The sequence below is a fragment of the Homo sapiens genome, chromosome 1 (genome assembly GCF_000001405.40).
Source record: "Homo sapiens chromosome 1, GRCh38.p14 Primary Assembly".
Classification (NCBI taxonomy): Eukaryota; Metazoa; Chordata; class Mammalia; order Primates; family Hominidae; genus Homo; species Homo sapiens.
The window spans coordinates 55,839,736-55,857,952 of NC_000001.11; the positions used below are offsets into that span (position 1 = coordinate 55,839,736).

An 18,217-nucleotide genomic window follows, 5' to 3' on the forward strand; every position below is an offset into this window, starting at 1 on the left:
GATAGCTCAAGAAGTACTGAGGCAGCTCAGGCTGCCAGAAACCTACTATTTATCGAATCTATTAACTCCCTGATACAGACTAAGCTGCCAACAGTAGCAGTTGGCAGAGCATGCTGGCAAGTTTCTTCCAGAGAAACAGACCTTTGAGTTTTAGCCCCTTCTCTACCCTTATCCCGAGGGATGAAGCCACTGGAAGTGCTTGCATACCTGCATAAGACTGCCACTTTCTATGATCTAGAGAGACTCATGTATACTCTTTACTCTGAGTTGGTGAGAGAAGATGCAAACTGTGGGGAGCCTTAGAGCATTATAAATGTGTTCCAAACCCTCCTAAGGGAGAAGCTGGGTGTTGGGAACTCTTGTGATTGCATGGCATACTCCCTGGCACAGGGTCCATACCTGAGTGTGCTTTATTTTCTACTCATTTGATGTGAATACTTTCTCACTTTCTCAGCTGACTGGTACATAGAAGCTGCAATTTTTTATTTTTATTTTTATTTATTTATTTTTTTAAGATGGAGCCTTGCTCTGTTGCCCAGGGTGGAGTACAGTGGTGCAGTCTTGGCTCACCATAAACTTCACCTCCCAGGCTCCAGCGATTCTCCTGCCTCAGCCTCCCGAGTAGGTGGGATTACAGGAACATGCCACCATGCCTAGCTAATTTTTGTATTTTTAGTAGAGACAGGGTTTCACCATGTTGTCCAGGCTGGTCTTGAACTCCTGACCTCAAGTGATCCCTCTGCTTCTGCCTCCTGAAGTGCTGGGATTACAGGCGTGAGTCAGTGTGCCCGGCCAGCTTCAACTCATTTCTGACTTTTTTTCAGAGGGCCTGGATCTGTGAATGGATGTTTATTTGGTGCATCTGTTGGTGGGGGAGTAAGTCGGAAACCTTCTCTTCTGCCATGTGGAGATCACTTCACTGGCTATTTCTGTGGCTGTCTTTGAGAAGTCTCCATTCAAATATTTTGCTGAGTTTGAGCTGTCTTTTTATTGTTAAATTTGGGAATTTATTTTGGTGTTCTGGATATGAGTTCTTTGTCAGACATACGTTTGGTAAATATTTTCTCCTGATTTATACCATGACTATTTTCTTAATGATCTTTTTTGGTGAGAATGTCCGATTTTGATGTGTTGTATTTTTATAGGATTTCATTCTGTTATCCTTTTTTAAAAAAACAATCCTTCCTATCTCCAAGTGTAAAGATCTTAGGTTTTCTAGATGCATTGTAATTTTAAGTTTAGTTGTATAATCCATCTGGAACTAAGTTTTCTGTACGATGTGACATGGGGTGGGGGTTGAGGTTTATTTTTTCTAAGTGGATGTCTGATGATTTCCAGCACCACTTACTAAAAAGATGACTTTTGACAAAGATATAAAGTTACCATTAAGTACGGACGAATGTCTTAACTTTGACCTGTTTATTCTTATGTCAGTGCCACACTATCCTGATCACAACAGATTTATAGTAAGACTTGAACTCAGTTGAGTCCAAGTTTTAAGATTGTTTTGGATATTTTAGGTCCTTTGGATTTCCATGTGCATTTTTAAATAAGCATATTTATTTTTACTTAAAGAGCCTAGAGGAGTATGACTGAGATTGCATAGAATTCATAGGTCACTTTGGGGAGAACTGAGAACTTAATGTTGAGTCTTTCGATGAATGAGCATGGTCTCTCTCTCCATTTGCTTAAGTCTTTAAAAATTTATTTCATTGGCATAACACTTCCAGAACGGCAGAGTAAGGACCTATGAAAAATCCAGACCTTATCAAAAGTAATAACACTCGCAAAAAATTGTCAAGATCGGCTGGGCGCGGTGGCTCACTCCTGTAATCCCAGCACTTTGGGAGGCTGAGGCGGGCGCATCACAAGGTAGGGAGATCGAGACCATCCTGGCTAACACGATGAAACCCCGTCTCTACTAAAAATACAAAAAATTAGCCGGGCGTGGTAGCGGGCGCCTGTAGTCCCAGCTACTCGGGAGGTTGAGGCAGGAGAATGGCGTGAACCTGGGAGTCGAACCTTGCAGTGAGCCGAGATTGCACCACTGCCCTCCGGCCTGGGCAACAGAGTGAGACTCCGTCAAAAAAAAAAAAAAAAAAAAAGTCAAAATCAACTCTAAGAACTCTGGAAATCAAAATCTGCAACAATTTGAGGAGTGTTTAAGAAAACCAGCAAGAATCTGAGAAGTATTAAGTCAAATTAATTCAGCTGTTTTTCTTTTCTTTTTTTTTTTTTTTTTGAGACAGAGTCTCGCTCTGTCACAAAGGCCAGAGTGCAGTGGCATGATCTCGGCTCACTGCAAGCTCTGCCTCCCGGGTTCACGCCATTCTCCTGCCTCAGCCTCCTTAGTAGGTGGGACTACGGGCGCCCACCACCACGCCTAGTTTTTTGTATTTTTAGTAGAGATGGGGTTTCACCGTGTTAGCCAGGATGGTCTCGATCTCCCGACCTCGTGATCCGCCCACCTCGGCCTCCCAAAGTGCTGAGATTATAGGCGTGAACAGCTGAATCTTGTAAGAACAGCAGACTCATGCTTTGACATGTCCTGTTTCCATTTCCTTTCCCCAAGATCCAGGGTAGTGTAGTAAACCAAGAACTTCATAATCATGGTTGCCAGAAAAAATAGCCTAGCACTGAAGGGGCAAAATGGGATTGGCTTCTTCCCAAAGAGACCAGTTTCTAGACTATAATTATTTGATCTATCTGGCAATTTCCTGGAAATCTTCAATCATAGGAATTGTCTTTATTGAACCTGACTTAGCTTAATCTTTGCAAACAGCTTTTTCCCTAGGGCATTTATCAAAAATATCATTTAACATCTGTAGTAGTGATAACAGTTGGGGTAATCAAGCAGCTGGCCAAACTTAAGGAGTTGGGAAATGACATGCTCATAAAGAGTTTAAGAAAGCTCCAACATATTCCTGAGAATCTAGAAGGTGACACACATGTTCAGAACTATGCACACGCTAAGAGTTGTATGCATTCTCAGGAGGACCCAAAAAGGTCTGAATTTCCAACTAGCCTTGAGGCTCTGCATGAGCAGGAGCTATGGCTAAGGCAGAGTTGTAAACTGCTTGGCAGAGCATTGAAGGCATGTCCCAAATTGGACTCAAAGCACAAGGGCACTGAAGTTACTAGATGACAGCCGTTGCTTGATATACAGTGAGATTCTTACTGTGTCCCCTAATGAAAGATTGGCCTTCTAGTAACAAGAGCCTCTGAACCAAGACCACAGGGTTTCAGACTGGAGACAGGTTACCAAAGTTGGTCACAGGAAATGATAGAAGTAGAGCCACTCTTTTCCATTCCTAGCCTCCATGTATTTTTGCTATTGGTGATATAGAATCATTATATGGTTATCAATTTAGGTTATATCCTACTATATGATTAAGAATCCTCCCAGGATGATCATCTTTAAGCTGTCATCTTGGCTGTACTTTTAACAACAGGCTATTCTATCATTTCATCTAGCCTGGAGCTCTGGGTGTTCCATATGGAATAGTACCAGTAAGCCCCATGGTCATGTGCTCATGGCCAGCCTAGTTTGCTGTAATGTGAATCCCTTGTTCCATTATTTTGTCACTGGACCAACATTCTATGGGCCTTAGATAGGTGGTAATAGTCAAGACCCTTCTGGCAGGAAAGGCAAACCTTTACCTGGAGTATGTGTCTATTCATATAAAACAAACTACCAAATGACCAGCAGGTCTCTACAGGTGGTGCCATATTCAGAGGTTCAGAATGTTTTAGTTGCTTGTAATTTGTGTATTTTGTGGTACCAGTTGTTAGAATAGCTTTGGTGAATGGGAGCCGATGGTTTGGGGCCCATGCATAGACTTAATTTCTGTCACTAGCTATTCTACTCATGGACTTATTAGGAAAGCAGTGATGTCAAGTGAAAGAGCCGTTCTGTATACTTTATTGTAAATATTCTCTGTGGAAAGCATTCTATAGTGGATATTAACATGTCATAGGAAAGTCTTCGTGGTGTCCACTCTTGTAAGTATGTCCATGTGCCTCTTCCCCAGACCTTCTTCACACTTATCTTCCAATACTTGTTGTTTTAGGTCCCTCACCAGCTAGCCAAGTCACTACTGTCCATGATTCTGTGTATGTTGTAAATTACGTATTTTTCCCCACTAAGTATGTCTACATGTGCTACTCAATGTTCTGCCCATTGGGATGATTTCTCTCTCAAGTTATGAGTTGAGCTATAGTATAGTAGCAGTCCTTTTTTGCTTATACCTCCATATGGGATGACCCATATGGAGACAAGCTTTTTTTTTACTTCTGTCAATTGGTCATAAGAAATCCTCTACATGTCCATAGGTGTGAGTGGAGTAAGTGCTATCAGTAGAATGTTTGTGAATGACATGGTGGTCTGAGCCAAATAATTGTGTACTATGGTTTCCTTGTGTTCAACTGTGTGTTCCATTTTTTGATGGATTACTGCTGGGCCTACCTGAACTTATTACTTGGTGAGTCTGATAGAAACCCATGTGGGATGGGCAGTTCTAGGGGTCCCTCAGCATTCAATATAAGATGCTTCATCTTTAGCGGGTCCAATAGCATGCCAGGAGCTATTTTTTAATAGTATACAGTTCTCTGCTATGGAAGGCATACCCTTGCTGTAACACAGATCTATGTTGGATTTTTATTAGAACATGCCATAAACTCTACATGATATTTTTCTGCCATCACTGACACTTCTAATGCCATAGGATCTTCTAGGTTGTACGGTCCAAGCAGCAGGGCCCTTTCCAATTCTGTCATTCAAAGCTGGCAGCCTCTTGTGTCATCCAATATGTAGGTCAGAAAGTTACTCTCAAGGGTAGCATATGCTGCCTTCAGATCCTGAAGAGACATGTCAGCCTTCATTCTTTCTTCAATGTAAGGATGTCCTTTACTCTGGGGGGATGTCCTGGTATGTCCCACAATTCCTGGACTGCTAAAAACTTCAGTGAAGTGACAGACCCATGTGTCTTCATAGGTTTTAATTCTCACACTTTGGAGTTCCTATGACAGATTTACTGCTTGTTTATCTGGGCCAATTATATGATATCATTGATATAGATAACTAATGTGATATTCTGCGGTGTCCAGGTATACCAGGTCCCTTCAGACAACATTTTGACTGCAGATATAGTAGTGGAGATCGCCCTGGGACTATACGTGTATGCTAATGTATCCCTGAGGCTGTATAAACCTGTATAGCAGATACCTCATATACTTCAAGATTATAGTGTCCACTTCATTTCTCCTGGATCTTTCCAGGATCCTGACTTTTGTAGTGGTCAGACTGATTTAGTGGAGATGTGATGAAATAGTGGAATTTAATTTTGACAGTAATGTCATTTCTTTTCAGGGCATAAATATTTTATTTTCTGTCTTAACCATTAGAGGGTGAGCTTTGGAATATTCTATTTGGTCTTCTTCACTATAATCTTTTATTCCGTAGGCTAATATGACTGTATTAGAATTGTGGTCTGCTACCACTAAGGTTCCATGATCTCTTAAGACCCTATACGTCTAAATTACTTAGGGTGTATTGCAGCTTGCCAAAATTCCAGCTATCCAACAGCCTGGATTTGAATGGAGCTAGTACATGTCCCTCTATCCAGAATAGAACTTTGCTGCTAAAGGGACAAGACAAGAAACTATGGAACTTGAGCCTAAGTCAAGGTCTTCCTTTTACTTAAAGCCACCCTGGATATTTTGGAATGCTCAGAAATGAGTCAAAACAACTTCATTTCTTCAATATAGATGCTTATAATCTGCAGGGAGACCAGAATATAAAACGTATCTGCTAACTCTAGAAAGGTTTGGCCCTTCTCCAATGTCATGTATAGTGACAACCCTATATTCTGCCAAATCTAAATTTTCAGAAGTGGAAAAATTGAGTTCATGTAATTGATAAATTCTTCAAAAATTGCTAACACATTGAATGTATTACCTATAAATGGCCTTATCAGTGTGGATATTATCCTTAATACTATGAATTTCCAGCAGTCACACTGATGTGCTTATAGGTATTAAGTGCCATTCAGTCAGATGTTATAATTAGAATGGGCCTAAATGAAGATAACTTATCAGGTATACCATATTACCTAACCATGTTAAATAGATGCATACACAATGTCTATTGTAAAGAGAATTTGGATTTTTTGAATACATAACATACATTATGTGTAAGTATAACATACATTAAGATAAAGAACACAGTGAGCCAAGATTGCGCCACTGCACTCCAGCCTGGGTGACAGAGTGAGACTCTATCTCAAAAAAAAAAAAAAAAAAGATAAAGAACATCACATTCAAATTATCAGATTTGGCCAGTATAAAATTCAGTGAAAACTAAGCATGAGTACTAATATTCTTTGTATATTCTGCTACTGTGCTATACAGTTAAAATGTTAAAATTTACGTTTCTACATGAAATTTGTATAGCCAGTTCTAAGATATGGCAAGAAAGAGTCAACATAAAATCTAAGTGATTGCCTAATAACAGTGTTTAGATAAGAGTTGAAACTGCTTTGCAAGTCTAATTCTCTTCATTAATTTGAGGGACACAGCTTGAGAAAGAAAGTCTCCAGAACAGGCAAAGCAAATCATGGATTTGGAAAGCACTGATCCTGAATTTCTCTGAGAATGTGCGTTGATAATTCAACCCAACAGTCTTGATTCATAGAATAATATATTGAGATCCCAATGTTGTTCTAAGTGGCATCTACCATTGGTCCCTGAAATGAAACCTATTTGTTTTTTTCTTGGTTTAAAACCAAGCAAACAATTATCTATTCTTTTTTTTTTTTTTTTGGGAGACAGAGTCTTGCTCTGTCACCCAGGCTGGAGTGCAGTGGCACAGTCTCGGCTCACTGCAACCTCAGCCTCCTGGGTTCAAGCGATTCTCCCACCTCAGCCTCCCGAGTAGCTGGGATTACAGGCAGCCACCATCATGCCCAGCTAATTTTTATATTTTTAGCAAAGACAGGGTTTCACCATGTTGGCCAGGGTTGTCTTGAACTCCTGACCTCAGGTGATCAGCCCACTTCAGCCTCCCAAAGTGCTGGGATTAGAGGCATGAGCCACCGCGCCTGGCCATATCCATTTCAATACTGATTGTGTCACCCATGGAGGTGTGTAGATGGCCTCTAGCTTCCATACCTTCAGGATCTACTTCCATGTTCATGTCAAGGCCATATTCTTCCCAGGTTGCTCCCAGTCTAAGTCTTAGGCCTGCCCCATACAGAATTCTGCTGTAGGGCTCCACAGTGGCCTGTGTGAGATTGAGCTGTAGCTCAGTTAGAGGTTCTTTCTACTCAATGCTTCTGCCTTCTCCCACTCTTCCTAATAGGTATAAACCTTCATGACCATTCTGAAGGCTCTCCCACCTTCTACTACCTTATCATTTAAGGGCCATTTTCTAATATGTCCAATTCTATTTTGGTGTCTTTTCAGAAAGACCTAGACTGACACACATTGGTAAGCTAAGAGTAGCAGAGTTAAATATGTAGGAGTTTGTCCTTTGGTGCCCATGCTGGTGATTCCTAGAGTACAATCTTCTATGCTGGCAGTTGCAGATGAAGACAGGAGAGATGGCCTCCAGGAGGCAGGTTTCTCTTCCAGGTTCCTGCCAGGTACGACTATAGAATGAAAAGCACATTTGAGGGCTTGTCTTTTTCTCTACCAGACCCAGCAAGAAATGATTCCAAGATCACCTAGCTGATCTCATGCTCTATCTGGATTTGAGTGAAGATATACATATTCACCAAGTCTTGACTCAGTCACCTTTTGTGCAGGTAAGCATTGGTGTCTGTTCAGTTGGCCCACAAATCTAGGTTTCTTCAAACATTGGTATATGCCCTGCTCAGGTTTTACACTAAAAGCCTGGAATTGCCGTGACCCTTAGAATTACTTTTAGCTTCGATTCTATAATATTAGAGAGAATTTAGTACTCACTAATTATAAGGTTTATGACCAAAAGGAACCTGTGTGTATCAGATGAATTTCTATACTACTTCAGGAATATATGAGGATATGATACCTTTATTAGCTTGATGTAAAACCCTTTTGGTGATTATATGGTAGGAATTCACATGCCTCCCAGATTCTTAGACCTCCTGCCTTCCGTGTCCTCCAGTACCCTGCTCAAAAAGAGACTGACCACTGCCATCATATTTCAGCACCAACTGCCTCAGCTTGTCCTCAGCCTGACTTGGTGTGACCCACCTCACTCCACCCTAGGCAGGGGCTGAGGCAGGTTCAACACTCAGGCTGGACTCTAGCAGGCCCAGAGAAACTATGGCTCTTCTCACATTTTCATACTCAAATGAAGCACTGTCATGTCAAGTGTGAAGCCTGGCTGCCCCAGTGGGCTTCTGTCTGTTTCGGGTAGAAAGATTCTTATTTAAAAATTGGTTCTTGCTTAATTGGCTGGTATCAGAAAGTGAATACAACCTTATGCCATAATGACAATAAACTCAAGGAGTAAAACTTAAGTAGTAAAATGGAAACTTGAGACTTAGAAGCTTCTGTCTTAAGGAAATACCTGGACTTAAAGTGAGGGATGGAACGGGGTGTGGGGGGGGTGGGGAAGCACACAGTCAGCTATCAAAGTGTGCTAATACCCAGGATGATGTGATCCCCACAAACCCTTAATTCTTGGCATGGACATAGATCACCAAGTCAGAACAGGGAAGAAGTTCCTCTAGTACTTTTGTGCAGAGTGTGGGGATCTCTCTAGTTCAGAGATATGATGGAAAGCCATAATTTAGGTACTGACAGCTGCTCTAGCCAGGTAAAGCAAAACAGACTGGATGAGCTGAAGGGAAAGGTACAGAGTCAAAGTGGGGAAGTAGGAGGCTTGTCTCTGTCTCAAAAGATCAGAGGCCTCCAAAAGTCGCTGCAGAAAAGAGAAGCAGCACTTGATAATTCAGTCAACTGAGTATTTGCATCCTTTTCTGCATGCTTATTACACTTAAGTTGAAGTAGAAAAGCATCTGTTTGCTAGTCTGCCTTAGAAGTCAGATCTGAAGGATTATCTAACTGAGGAGTAAATAGTCAAAGGAATAATCAACCAGCATGTTCCCTTTAGGCACCAGCCTCAAGGTGGCTAAATTTCTCAAATGGAAGGATGACAGGCATTTATTTGTCTAGTAAAGAAATTTGAAAGCTTGAGTCAGAAAAACCAATTCCAAACTCCTGAAAATTTTGTTTATATACTACATTGAAAGTTAACAGGTGGAGACAAATCTCAGCTAATAGGAGACAAACTGATGTCTAAGTCCTCTTGCCTCTCATCTTTTGGGAATTTGGTAGAGTTGCTCCACATGCCCCTGAGGAAGTTCCCAGCAGAATCTGGCTCATGGCTGCCTCCTCCTGTTAGCTATCTGCTTACTCCTTAACCTCTAAATTTTTACTGACTCACTTTTGGTGATTTCAACCCTGACTACCCTAAGAATTATATCCTTGTACCCTGGGCACACCTGACCCCTTTATTTTGGTCCCTTTTTATAGTATGATCGTTTTCACATAGACTAGTGAATTTGCTTACATTCATGCTACATTGGAATAAGTTTCTTGATAGCAAGAATATTTCTCTTGCATTCATCAAGTATCACCAGAGCCTACAATGGAGTCTGAAGTATAGTAGGCCCCATTAGTTGGTTATCTTCTTCTTATACAACAGGACCTGGCAATTAGAAAAAATATGGCATGTAGAAAAGAGCCTATAATGGGCAGAAAATATTTGAATACTGTATAGGGCTTGGCTAGTACCTGTTCACTGATCTACAAATTGTCAAAGAGGATTAGGAGACTTAATGACAAATTTTATCTTTTCTGGTTGTTACCACTTGCAATTCTAAACACACACATCCTTCTAATACGAGGATCATGGTTCAACCTCAAACTTTTTACTGAAATCAGAACTATTGATTGCAAGGCAAACTTTTCAGTGGCCATGACTTATAAGAGGTTTATCATAGCCAAGTGTCACTTTAGTTTTTAACTGAGTGATACTCTAGAATGAAAAGTAGGTCAAGCATACAATTGAGAGACATGAGAAGGCAGAAGGCAGCCTGGGAAAGGTCTATGCAGGTGACATTTCTGAAAGATTCTAAGTATTCCAGACGGTCACATTCAATTATTGTTAGACCATATGAATTGACTGGCTCCTAATGGCATTTTCAATGGAGAGTAAAGCATTTAGTCCTGAGGAGGCTGAAGCCTCAGTATATCCCCCCAATAACTATACTCTGAGCAGCTTCATTATCTGTAGCTAAACACACCCACATATTCAGTCATCCTTTATATACACGCCAAGAGTCTATATCCCACGCACCCAAACTTGAGGGCTGATACTCTAACGATTTCTAATACCCAGCTTTGGGTATAATATTCCAGCTTTGGGCATTCTCCTTTTAACATCACTACTCACGGTAGACAACCGCTTATACTAGTCAGTCACAATACTACAGGGTACACTTTTGCCAAGTTATGGCTGCCTTCTTGTGTAGTTGAAGCCTAACTACTATAAGGCCTTAGCACTGACTTTCCCTGGATGCCATCAGGCTCGGGATGGATGTAGGTTGTATTATTCTGGGCCATTGGTAGGATGCCTAGGATATCTTTCTCTAAGCAGCCCCAAAGAACAGAGTAACTCGGTCTTACCTACAGATAAGAAACTGGCTGTACCAGACACAAAAATGCACTGTCCAGATCCCCTCCCTCGAGGAAACTTTCTTCCAGCTAGAGAGGGTAGAAGACAGACTTCAGCTGTCAGCTCCTTTTAGGGTCCAACTCAGCTTCAGAGAACTGTTCCACCTGAGGTCAAACTCTTTCAGAATCAGCCTGCTTCTATAGCCTAAGCCAAGGACTTTATAAAAGCTTGGCTCTTTCAATCCAATGAAGGATAACATGAACAGAATTTTTGACTAACTGGTCCTCCTCCCTCAGGTTGGCTTTGTTGGGGATAAACTCCACATTCAGTTTAGAAGTTTCTTTGGTCATTCTAGACCTGTGCGAAGAAATCATGTCATCTGGTTGCTTTGCTCAATTTAACACACTCAGTTATTAACAAACCAGCATCAGAATGATCGTGGCATGTCCTCCATAATTCAGCTGTTGGCTGCTCATGTGGCAGCCACGGTGGTACACTCCTCAGAGCTCCCCTCAAGACAGAGCTGACCCCTAGCTGCAAGCTCTGATCTGCTGCAGTGTTCCAACTGAGGCCATGCTCCTCCCAGAAGCTCCTATCCAATAACTGAGCACGGCCTGGAAATCAGGGCCTGGCCATTTCCACTCAAATATTCTTCTGTGAGCAATCTTTCTGCTGGAGCTTCTTGTTGGGCTGCCTGCAGCTCCTTCAGTAGGTGCCAAACCTACATAGACATCCACATGCTTTCCCTGCCTAATCCTACACCTTCCGCCTTTACCATTCATAGCTGTTAACCTAAGAAACATTTTGTACTAACTCCGTCTAGGGTCTAGTGCAGATTTATAAACCAAACTTCAGAGCTGGTGAAAGAATTTTCAAATTTCTTCATGTGTTTTCTTGGAGGTCCCGACTGAGCATTCTACCTCTGAACTTTATCAACCCCAGTGAAGACCCGAAAGATGCTTTAACCCAACCAATGTTGTATTGGCTCCCACAGAAAGTAAAATCAGAGTCATGTGGCAATACTAGCTTTAAACCTGGTTGAAAAGAGTCATTTCAAGATAGGCCCCAAGGAACAGGAGACTGGATAAAAGTAGCCCTTCTGAACTACCATAGGCAAAAGAAGCTTCCCTCTGACAGAAGTGTGCTGTTTTCCAGTTCTGCATAGCCAGTCTCAACTTCTGTCAGGACTTATTGTGGTTATATATAAGTTGGAAGTGATTCTAGATTGGATTTTGGGTATTTCCCAGTTATTAACCTTAACAGATCAAGGTATCAGAACTACAGGACTAAGTGAGAGCTCTTAGCTGATTCTGAGCAATATTTACCTACAGCAAGTTATTTTTCTTTCAATGGTCCATAGAATTCTAGAATAAGACATAGCCACCTCCACTCTGAAAACACAAGGCTTGGGTCACTGTTAGTTGATGTCCTGTATTGAGGGAGAAAGGGTGAAGGAACCAAAATCTTAGTTTGCAACATGTGATCTAATTTTACAACATAACTTGGGGAGGAAAGCATTCTTAGTTTTACCAGGTACCTCAAAATTCAAGTAGTGGTTTATATGTAAATGATATCACCTTTTCATTTGTTATAAGAATTGCTGCCAGACAGCTTTAGGGTTGATTGGTTTTTGTTCCTCCACTCTTGCCTTGCCCTGCGCAAAGACAGTCACCAATGTAGATTTCAGAGGTTCAGGATTCCCATGTGACTCCTATTACATGTGCTTAACTAACTGGCATGAGCTATACTGGGGGAACATGCCGACTCAGGCTGATCCTACAGTACTAAAGCCATCTCCAACCCACCACATGCCAACATGTACCATGATATGTATTGTGCTAAGTCTTTATGAGATAAAGCAGGCATGTCAGGTGTGAAGCAGGCTTTGGCAAACAATGTAGAAGACATCATGGAAAGTAGAGCCATAGAGGGAAGAGATAAGAAAATCCTTTGTATATGATGAAAACAGTGGAGAACAAAAGCATAGGAGAGAACTTCATGGTATCAAAGTCAAGTCTTCGCTTTTGCTGAATACAACACTTGGGGATGAGAAGTGTCAAAATTTGAGCATGTCAAACATTCAGGCAGGTGGGTTATAGGATTCTTTGAAACTAATTTCCATGGGATATAAAAAACATCAGATACAATGTATATTAAAGGTAAGACAATTGGAAAAGCAGGTTGCAGAAAAAGCAGATGAGCTTTTTAAAGCATTATTTGCAGTCCATTCATACGGTTATCTTGAAGAGGATCAAAATATATGCTTGAAAATTTTACTTAACTTTGTGAGACTTGTAATATCAGAAAGTAGTGTGTACCTAGTTGGATATTTTCTCCTTTCTCCTTTGTATTCTGCTTTCTGTTCTCAGGAGGCAAACATGCATAAGAGATGTTACAGGACTACTGAGATGTCTGGATTGGGCCAAATGGGAGTCTCAGTAAGACAGTAGAGAAGGGAATTTCAGGGCAACCCTTCCTTTTGCTTCCTCTAGTGAGCTCTGTCTATTAACAGAGGGTCACTTTCTCACAAGGTAGCCTACTCCTGCCTTCTAGATTCTAGCATGCAATGCTTTCTCCTCTTTGAGTTTTGGGTGATGATGCTTTTGTTGCTACTAGCTCTGGGTTGTTATATTGTTTGCAATTTTGCCCATTTGTAGGAAAATCGTCATTGAATTATCTTAATTTGAGTGTGGTGCTTGAATTTTTTTTTCTCTAACAGTGCCAGGCACAGATAATGCCATCAGCTACCCTGTAGTGTAGAGGTAACTATCATTAAAGCATTTTTCAATCCCCTGTATGTTCTTCCATGCTTCTTTTGACTCAGTCTTTCTATTAGTATAGTTAGTAGTAAGGCCAAGAGAGCAGTATCACTGGGAAACAGGTTTGGGTTAAATACATACTGGATAAAAAAATATCACTTAAAGATGCTGAGAATTGACCAGAGATACGGCAAGATCCAGACAGTTTGGTTTCTGTATATAGAAGGATTTTAATTTCAGTATTTAATCTGTTATAGAGTTATGACTATTTTGAAAGGCACTAGTAAACATTTGATGTTCTTTTATTCTATAATCAGCACTATGATATTAAAGTTTCTAATATTCCTTCTCAATTAAAAAAACTTAAATATACTTAGAACCATCATTTAATAGTTTGTAAAGCAGGACTGTCTGGGGGATAGTTAGGCTTGTTGCAGCTCTTTTTCCAGATCCTTCTCATGCATAACTTCCTTACTAGTTTGATCCCGTATTTCTACCCATAAAAATGTTAAAGGAGTAGTTCTTGAGTACGTAAGAGACTGAAACATAGAATCAACCTCTCAGAAGTCTTTCAGCATGACATTTACCAATGATTTCTAAACTACTTGACCAGCTTGTTATTGTAGCACATGCTTGACTAGATCTTGGTATTAAGTAAACCTGATATACAATTTAGGTGCCAGGCTTCATACAACTCAGACTCACACAGGAGTGGAATCCAGGATACATACAACCCTGTACATGTAGCATTCTTGGAGTTGTAGAGGTAACACCTCCACCGAGCCCTTCTTATTGGGGAAAAAGCCATGAATACTTTTTACAACAGAAAAATGCAGATTTTCAAGGCTTAAAACTTAATCATTCTCATTGTTCTCCAAGCCAGAGGTCAGAGACAAGCAGCTCAGAAGCGAAGATTAGGGCCCTCAAAAAGGATGGCTAAAGAACGAATCTCTAAGGATCTTACAAAGTGCCCTCCCCAAAGGGCAGTCAGAAGGTCTATGCTGTGGCTCAACTTGGTCCACTGCCAAGTCTGCAGCTCTTTTCCTTAAGGGTCAAAAACACACCAAAAGAGCCAATGCTCAAGTAATTAAAGGGTTTACTCAACTCAGATGCAGAGGGAAGGGAGGCTGCAGTGGAAAAGGGGCACCATTGGCAAGAGGGTTCTCTGACAATGGTGGATAGACAGAGCGCCTAGTCCCAGGGATGGAAGATAGATATCCCCTTCTCCCACAAGCAGGATATTCTGATAGTGTCAGAAGTAGACTAATGTCCCAGTTAGGAGGGCAAGAGAAGAGGGATATCAGAGGTTACCTTCTTTTGTAGCAATTTAGCAAAGTATTTTGCTGTGAGTGACTTATTCCTTCCAACTTCTTCTGCAAGCTCACTCACTTTCACAGCAGAGTAGGTTCCATGAACATGGGGCAGAAGCAACTTAAGGTGGTAAAACAGACAAGACAGAAGTTACCAGCTTAAGACGCTGGTAAAAGAATAAGTCATCTAGGAAAGGCCTAGGACAAGCAACATTGAAGTCCTCAGGAGTAAAATGTGAGACTCACCCTGTATAGGGCTAGGGTTCAGCGTGGCCATGCCATCCTAGGAGGGGAGCAACAGCCAGTTGCCAGGATGAGCTGATCTTCTCCCTAATCCCATGAGCTAGGAGTCTGAGTTCTGAAGGCATGCTTGACTGCAGGCTGTGCTTGCATTCCTGAAAATGCTGTTGTACTCAGAGGAGCTGCTTTTCAGAGATATAAAAGCTTAGTCTTGCCATGTTGACCATGTAGTTCAGGCTCCAAATGTTGCAAAAAACAATTGATATTTACCTGGAACCCTTAGCTGTTTTATGATGACAGTTTTCAGTCTCAAGGACTCCTAGGTTGCCAAGAGCTAGAAAAGACACTGCAAGAGGTATTTAATCTTGTGGGAGATGTTAGTAGTTTCTACTTTATTGGCTGATGAACAAGAATGTGTGGCTAAGTCAGGATTTAAGAAATAAGCAAGTCAACTGTATGGAAATTGCTATTTGTTAAGTAATGAGAAAAATTATTCAGAGACTAGATGAGTTAAGTAGAAGGTGCATTTCAAAAATGAAGGAGGTCAGTTTGCCTCAGACCAGGAATTTCGAAGAATTGCCACAGAGCGGTTGAAGTCTATACTTATTTTCTGTGTATTTTATCTCCTAATAAACTGTAGAAGAGGGTCATCCATAGAGTGGCTTACAGCTACTTACTACAGTGATATCTCCCAGGTCTTTTGTTCCAATACCCACTGGAAGCTATTTTTTTCTAAGGTATATAATTCTGTCACAGAAGGCATGCCCTTGCTATAACACAGATCTATATTGGGAATTAGAATACAGCATAAGCTGTGCATGACACCTTCATCATAGGCACTTCTACCACCATGGGATATGCTAGGTCGTATGGCCCAAGTAGCAGGGCCCTTTCCAACTCTGGGTATAAAGCTGGCAGCCTCTCGTGTCATCTGGTACATAAGTCAGAACATTACTCCCAAAGGTGGCATATGCTGCCTCCGGAACCTGAAGAGACATATTAGCTGTCATGCTTCCAGAGTAAAGGATGTGTCCTTTACTCTGGTGTATGTCCTGGTATGCCCCACAACTCTTGGACTCCTAAAATTTTTCTAAAGTGACAGCCCATGAGTCTGTGGATTTTGACTCTCCCCCTCTGGAGTACCTATGATATACTTGCTACTTCTTGTTCATCTGGGCCAGTTATATGATATCATTGGTATAAATAACCAATATGCTGTTCTGCAAAGGGTTCAGATGTACCAGTTGCCTTTAGACAACACTTTGAAGGTATAACAGTGAACATAGCCCTTAGACAATAGCATACATATATGCAGGAAAACTCACTATAGATGCAAATTCCAGGCCTCCATGCCTTCACTTGCAGGGCACGGCCCTCTCCTGTGACAGACTCACTTAACTAGCAAGTAATGTCCTGGATATTTGCTTTTCTCTGGTGGCAAGTTCAAGATTGTGCTATTCATAGGGGCAGTGGTAGCCATTAGTTTTTTTTACCATTAACTTATGTGCAAGCTTTAAGAATCTTTCAGGTAGCAATCAAACACATAAGCCAATATATACTTGTGCCATGTGATTTTTTTGAATTGAAACTTAGGAAGCATAAGGCTTCTCATTAGTGATTCTTAGAGCAAGTGTGCCTAAAGTTCTTACATAGGACTTGGATTAACATCCTTTGCCAGCCACTGATTCTATGATCTGAGTGACTGACTGCCAAATATTATGCTTCTTAGGTTAAAGCCATTGTCTTCCTTCTGGCAGGGGTTGGGGAAGACAAATTAGCCAGCAGGACCCTGAAGACTTAGATCAAGAAAAGTATTGAACTGAGGGATACAGGTGTCCCAGCAAGACAGACAGGACCCACATGAAGTGCTTCCAGCCACATATGCAGGCTTTGTGTGCCTATTTCAGTCAGACGTTGGAGTCCTATTTGTATGCCCACCTGGGATGAACTCTGACAGATGTTTACAACTGCCTATTCTCTGCCTACTCAGCCAGCTATTTAAGGAAAAGGCCACATGAAGGCCTTTCAGGGAGAAAGCATAGTAAGAAGTCCCAAAGCTGGTTCAACTAGAAAGATAGGGATGAATTGTGACCTCTGCTTCAAGGTGCCCCAGGACAGAAGTTCATTCCTCCATGGTGCCAGTTTTGCTTATTAATAGAGGTGCCTACCAGGTCTTCCCATTCTATATTTAGCTACCTAGGAAAGCTAAGCATTTTATCTACCTAGGAAAGCTAAGCATTTTATCTAACCTGAAAAATATTGCTAATTTCAGTTCTAAGTTATTCATTTTTACTTGATAAGTATATAGGCAGGGATAGCAGACTATACATTTGTGAAGTATAGTTTATAGAACATAGCCTACTGGAACAGAGCAAGGCAGAAGGGTAGAGAATGGACTGAGATGAAGCAGATGTGCATAAATGGAGAATAGTTGTACACTAAGAAACGTCATTGTCTTAGGATGGCTACTCATTTTCAGTGAGCACAGTCAGGGTATATTGGCAACATAAGATGTAGTTAAGGGGTCAGAGGACATTTATGAATTGTATTCAGCATCTGCATGAGAGAATCTTTATGATTGTAACATCATACGATTATGATTCAAAGTAAATGCAATTGCAGCATTTTGTCTTATATTCAAGACATGTATGGGGCTTCCAGTGGGATAAATACACCTATGTATACCCACCAGCCTATGCTTAGGATCCAGTAACTCATATGTTAATCTCACACCATGGGCATAAGTGATCCAAAATTTTAGTAAGAACTGAAAGTTTTTATAAACACATGGCAAACCATTAGATACCTAAATTTTGAAGATTAAAAATATCAATTGTTCTTCTAGCAAGGCAGAGAAAGTCATGCCAGTAAGCCTGTAAAAATCAACTTGCAGGCAAACCTGCAAGAAACAACTGAAAAAGAGGATTGCATTTACATCATAGTAACTGTTGGTAGCTCTTTAAGAGGCACCATTCAGTCTGCCACTATTGATAAAATTGATTAGTTTATTGACAAGACTACTAGAAGTCCTCAGACTGCATGGTTGAGGCCATTCTTATCCCAGAGACATGAACACTATGCTAATGACCCTGCAACTCTGCCAAAGGCAAAAATTTCTAAGAGAAAACCTGCCCTCCACTCCCTAAAATAAACAGAAACCAACCAGGACTTCAGACCACTTAAGAACAATGGTCACAGAAAGAGACCAGGTGTTAGAGCTTAAGAAGGAGCCTTGTGCATCTTGC

At 41.1% G+C, this 18,217-nt stretch overlaps 1 long non-coding RNA gene across 1 annotated transcript in view; it reads right to left on the bottom strand.

The window, feature by feature from the left end:
• LOC105378740 (uncharacterized) overlaps nucleotides 1-15,192 on the bottom strand; it is a 71,267-nt gene extending 56,075 nt beyond the window's left edge. The window contains exon 1 of the long non-coding RNA XR_947380.3: nucleotides 14,979-15,192. This is a non-coding gene — a long non-coding RNA (uncharacterized LOC105378740). The remainder of the gene's footprint in view (nucleotides 1-14,978) is intronic.
• Nucleotides 15,193-18,217: the final 3,025 nt, after the last annotated feature.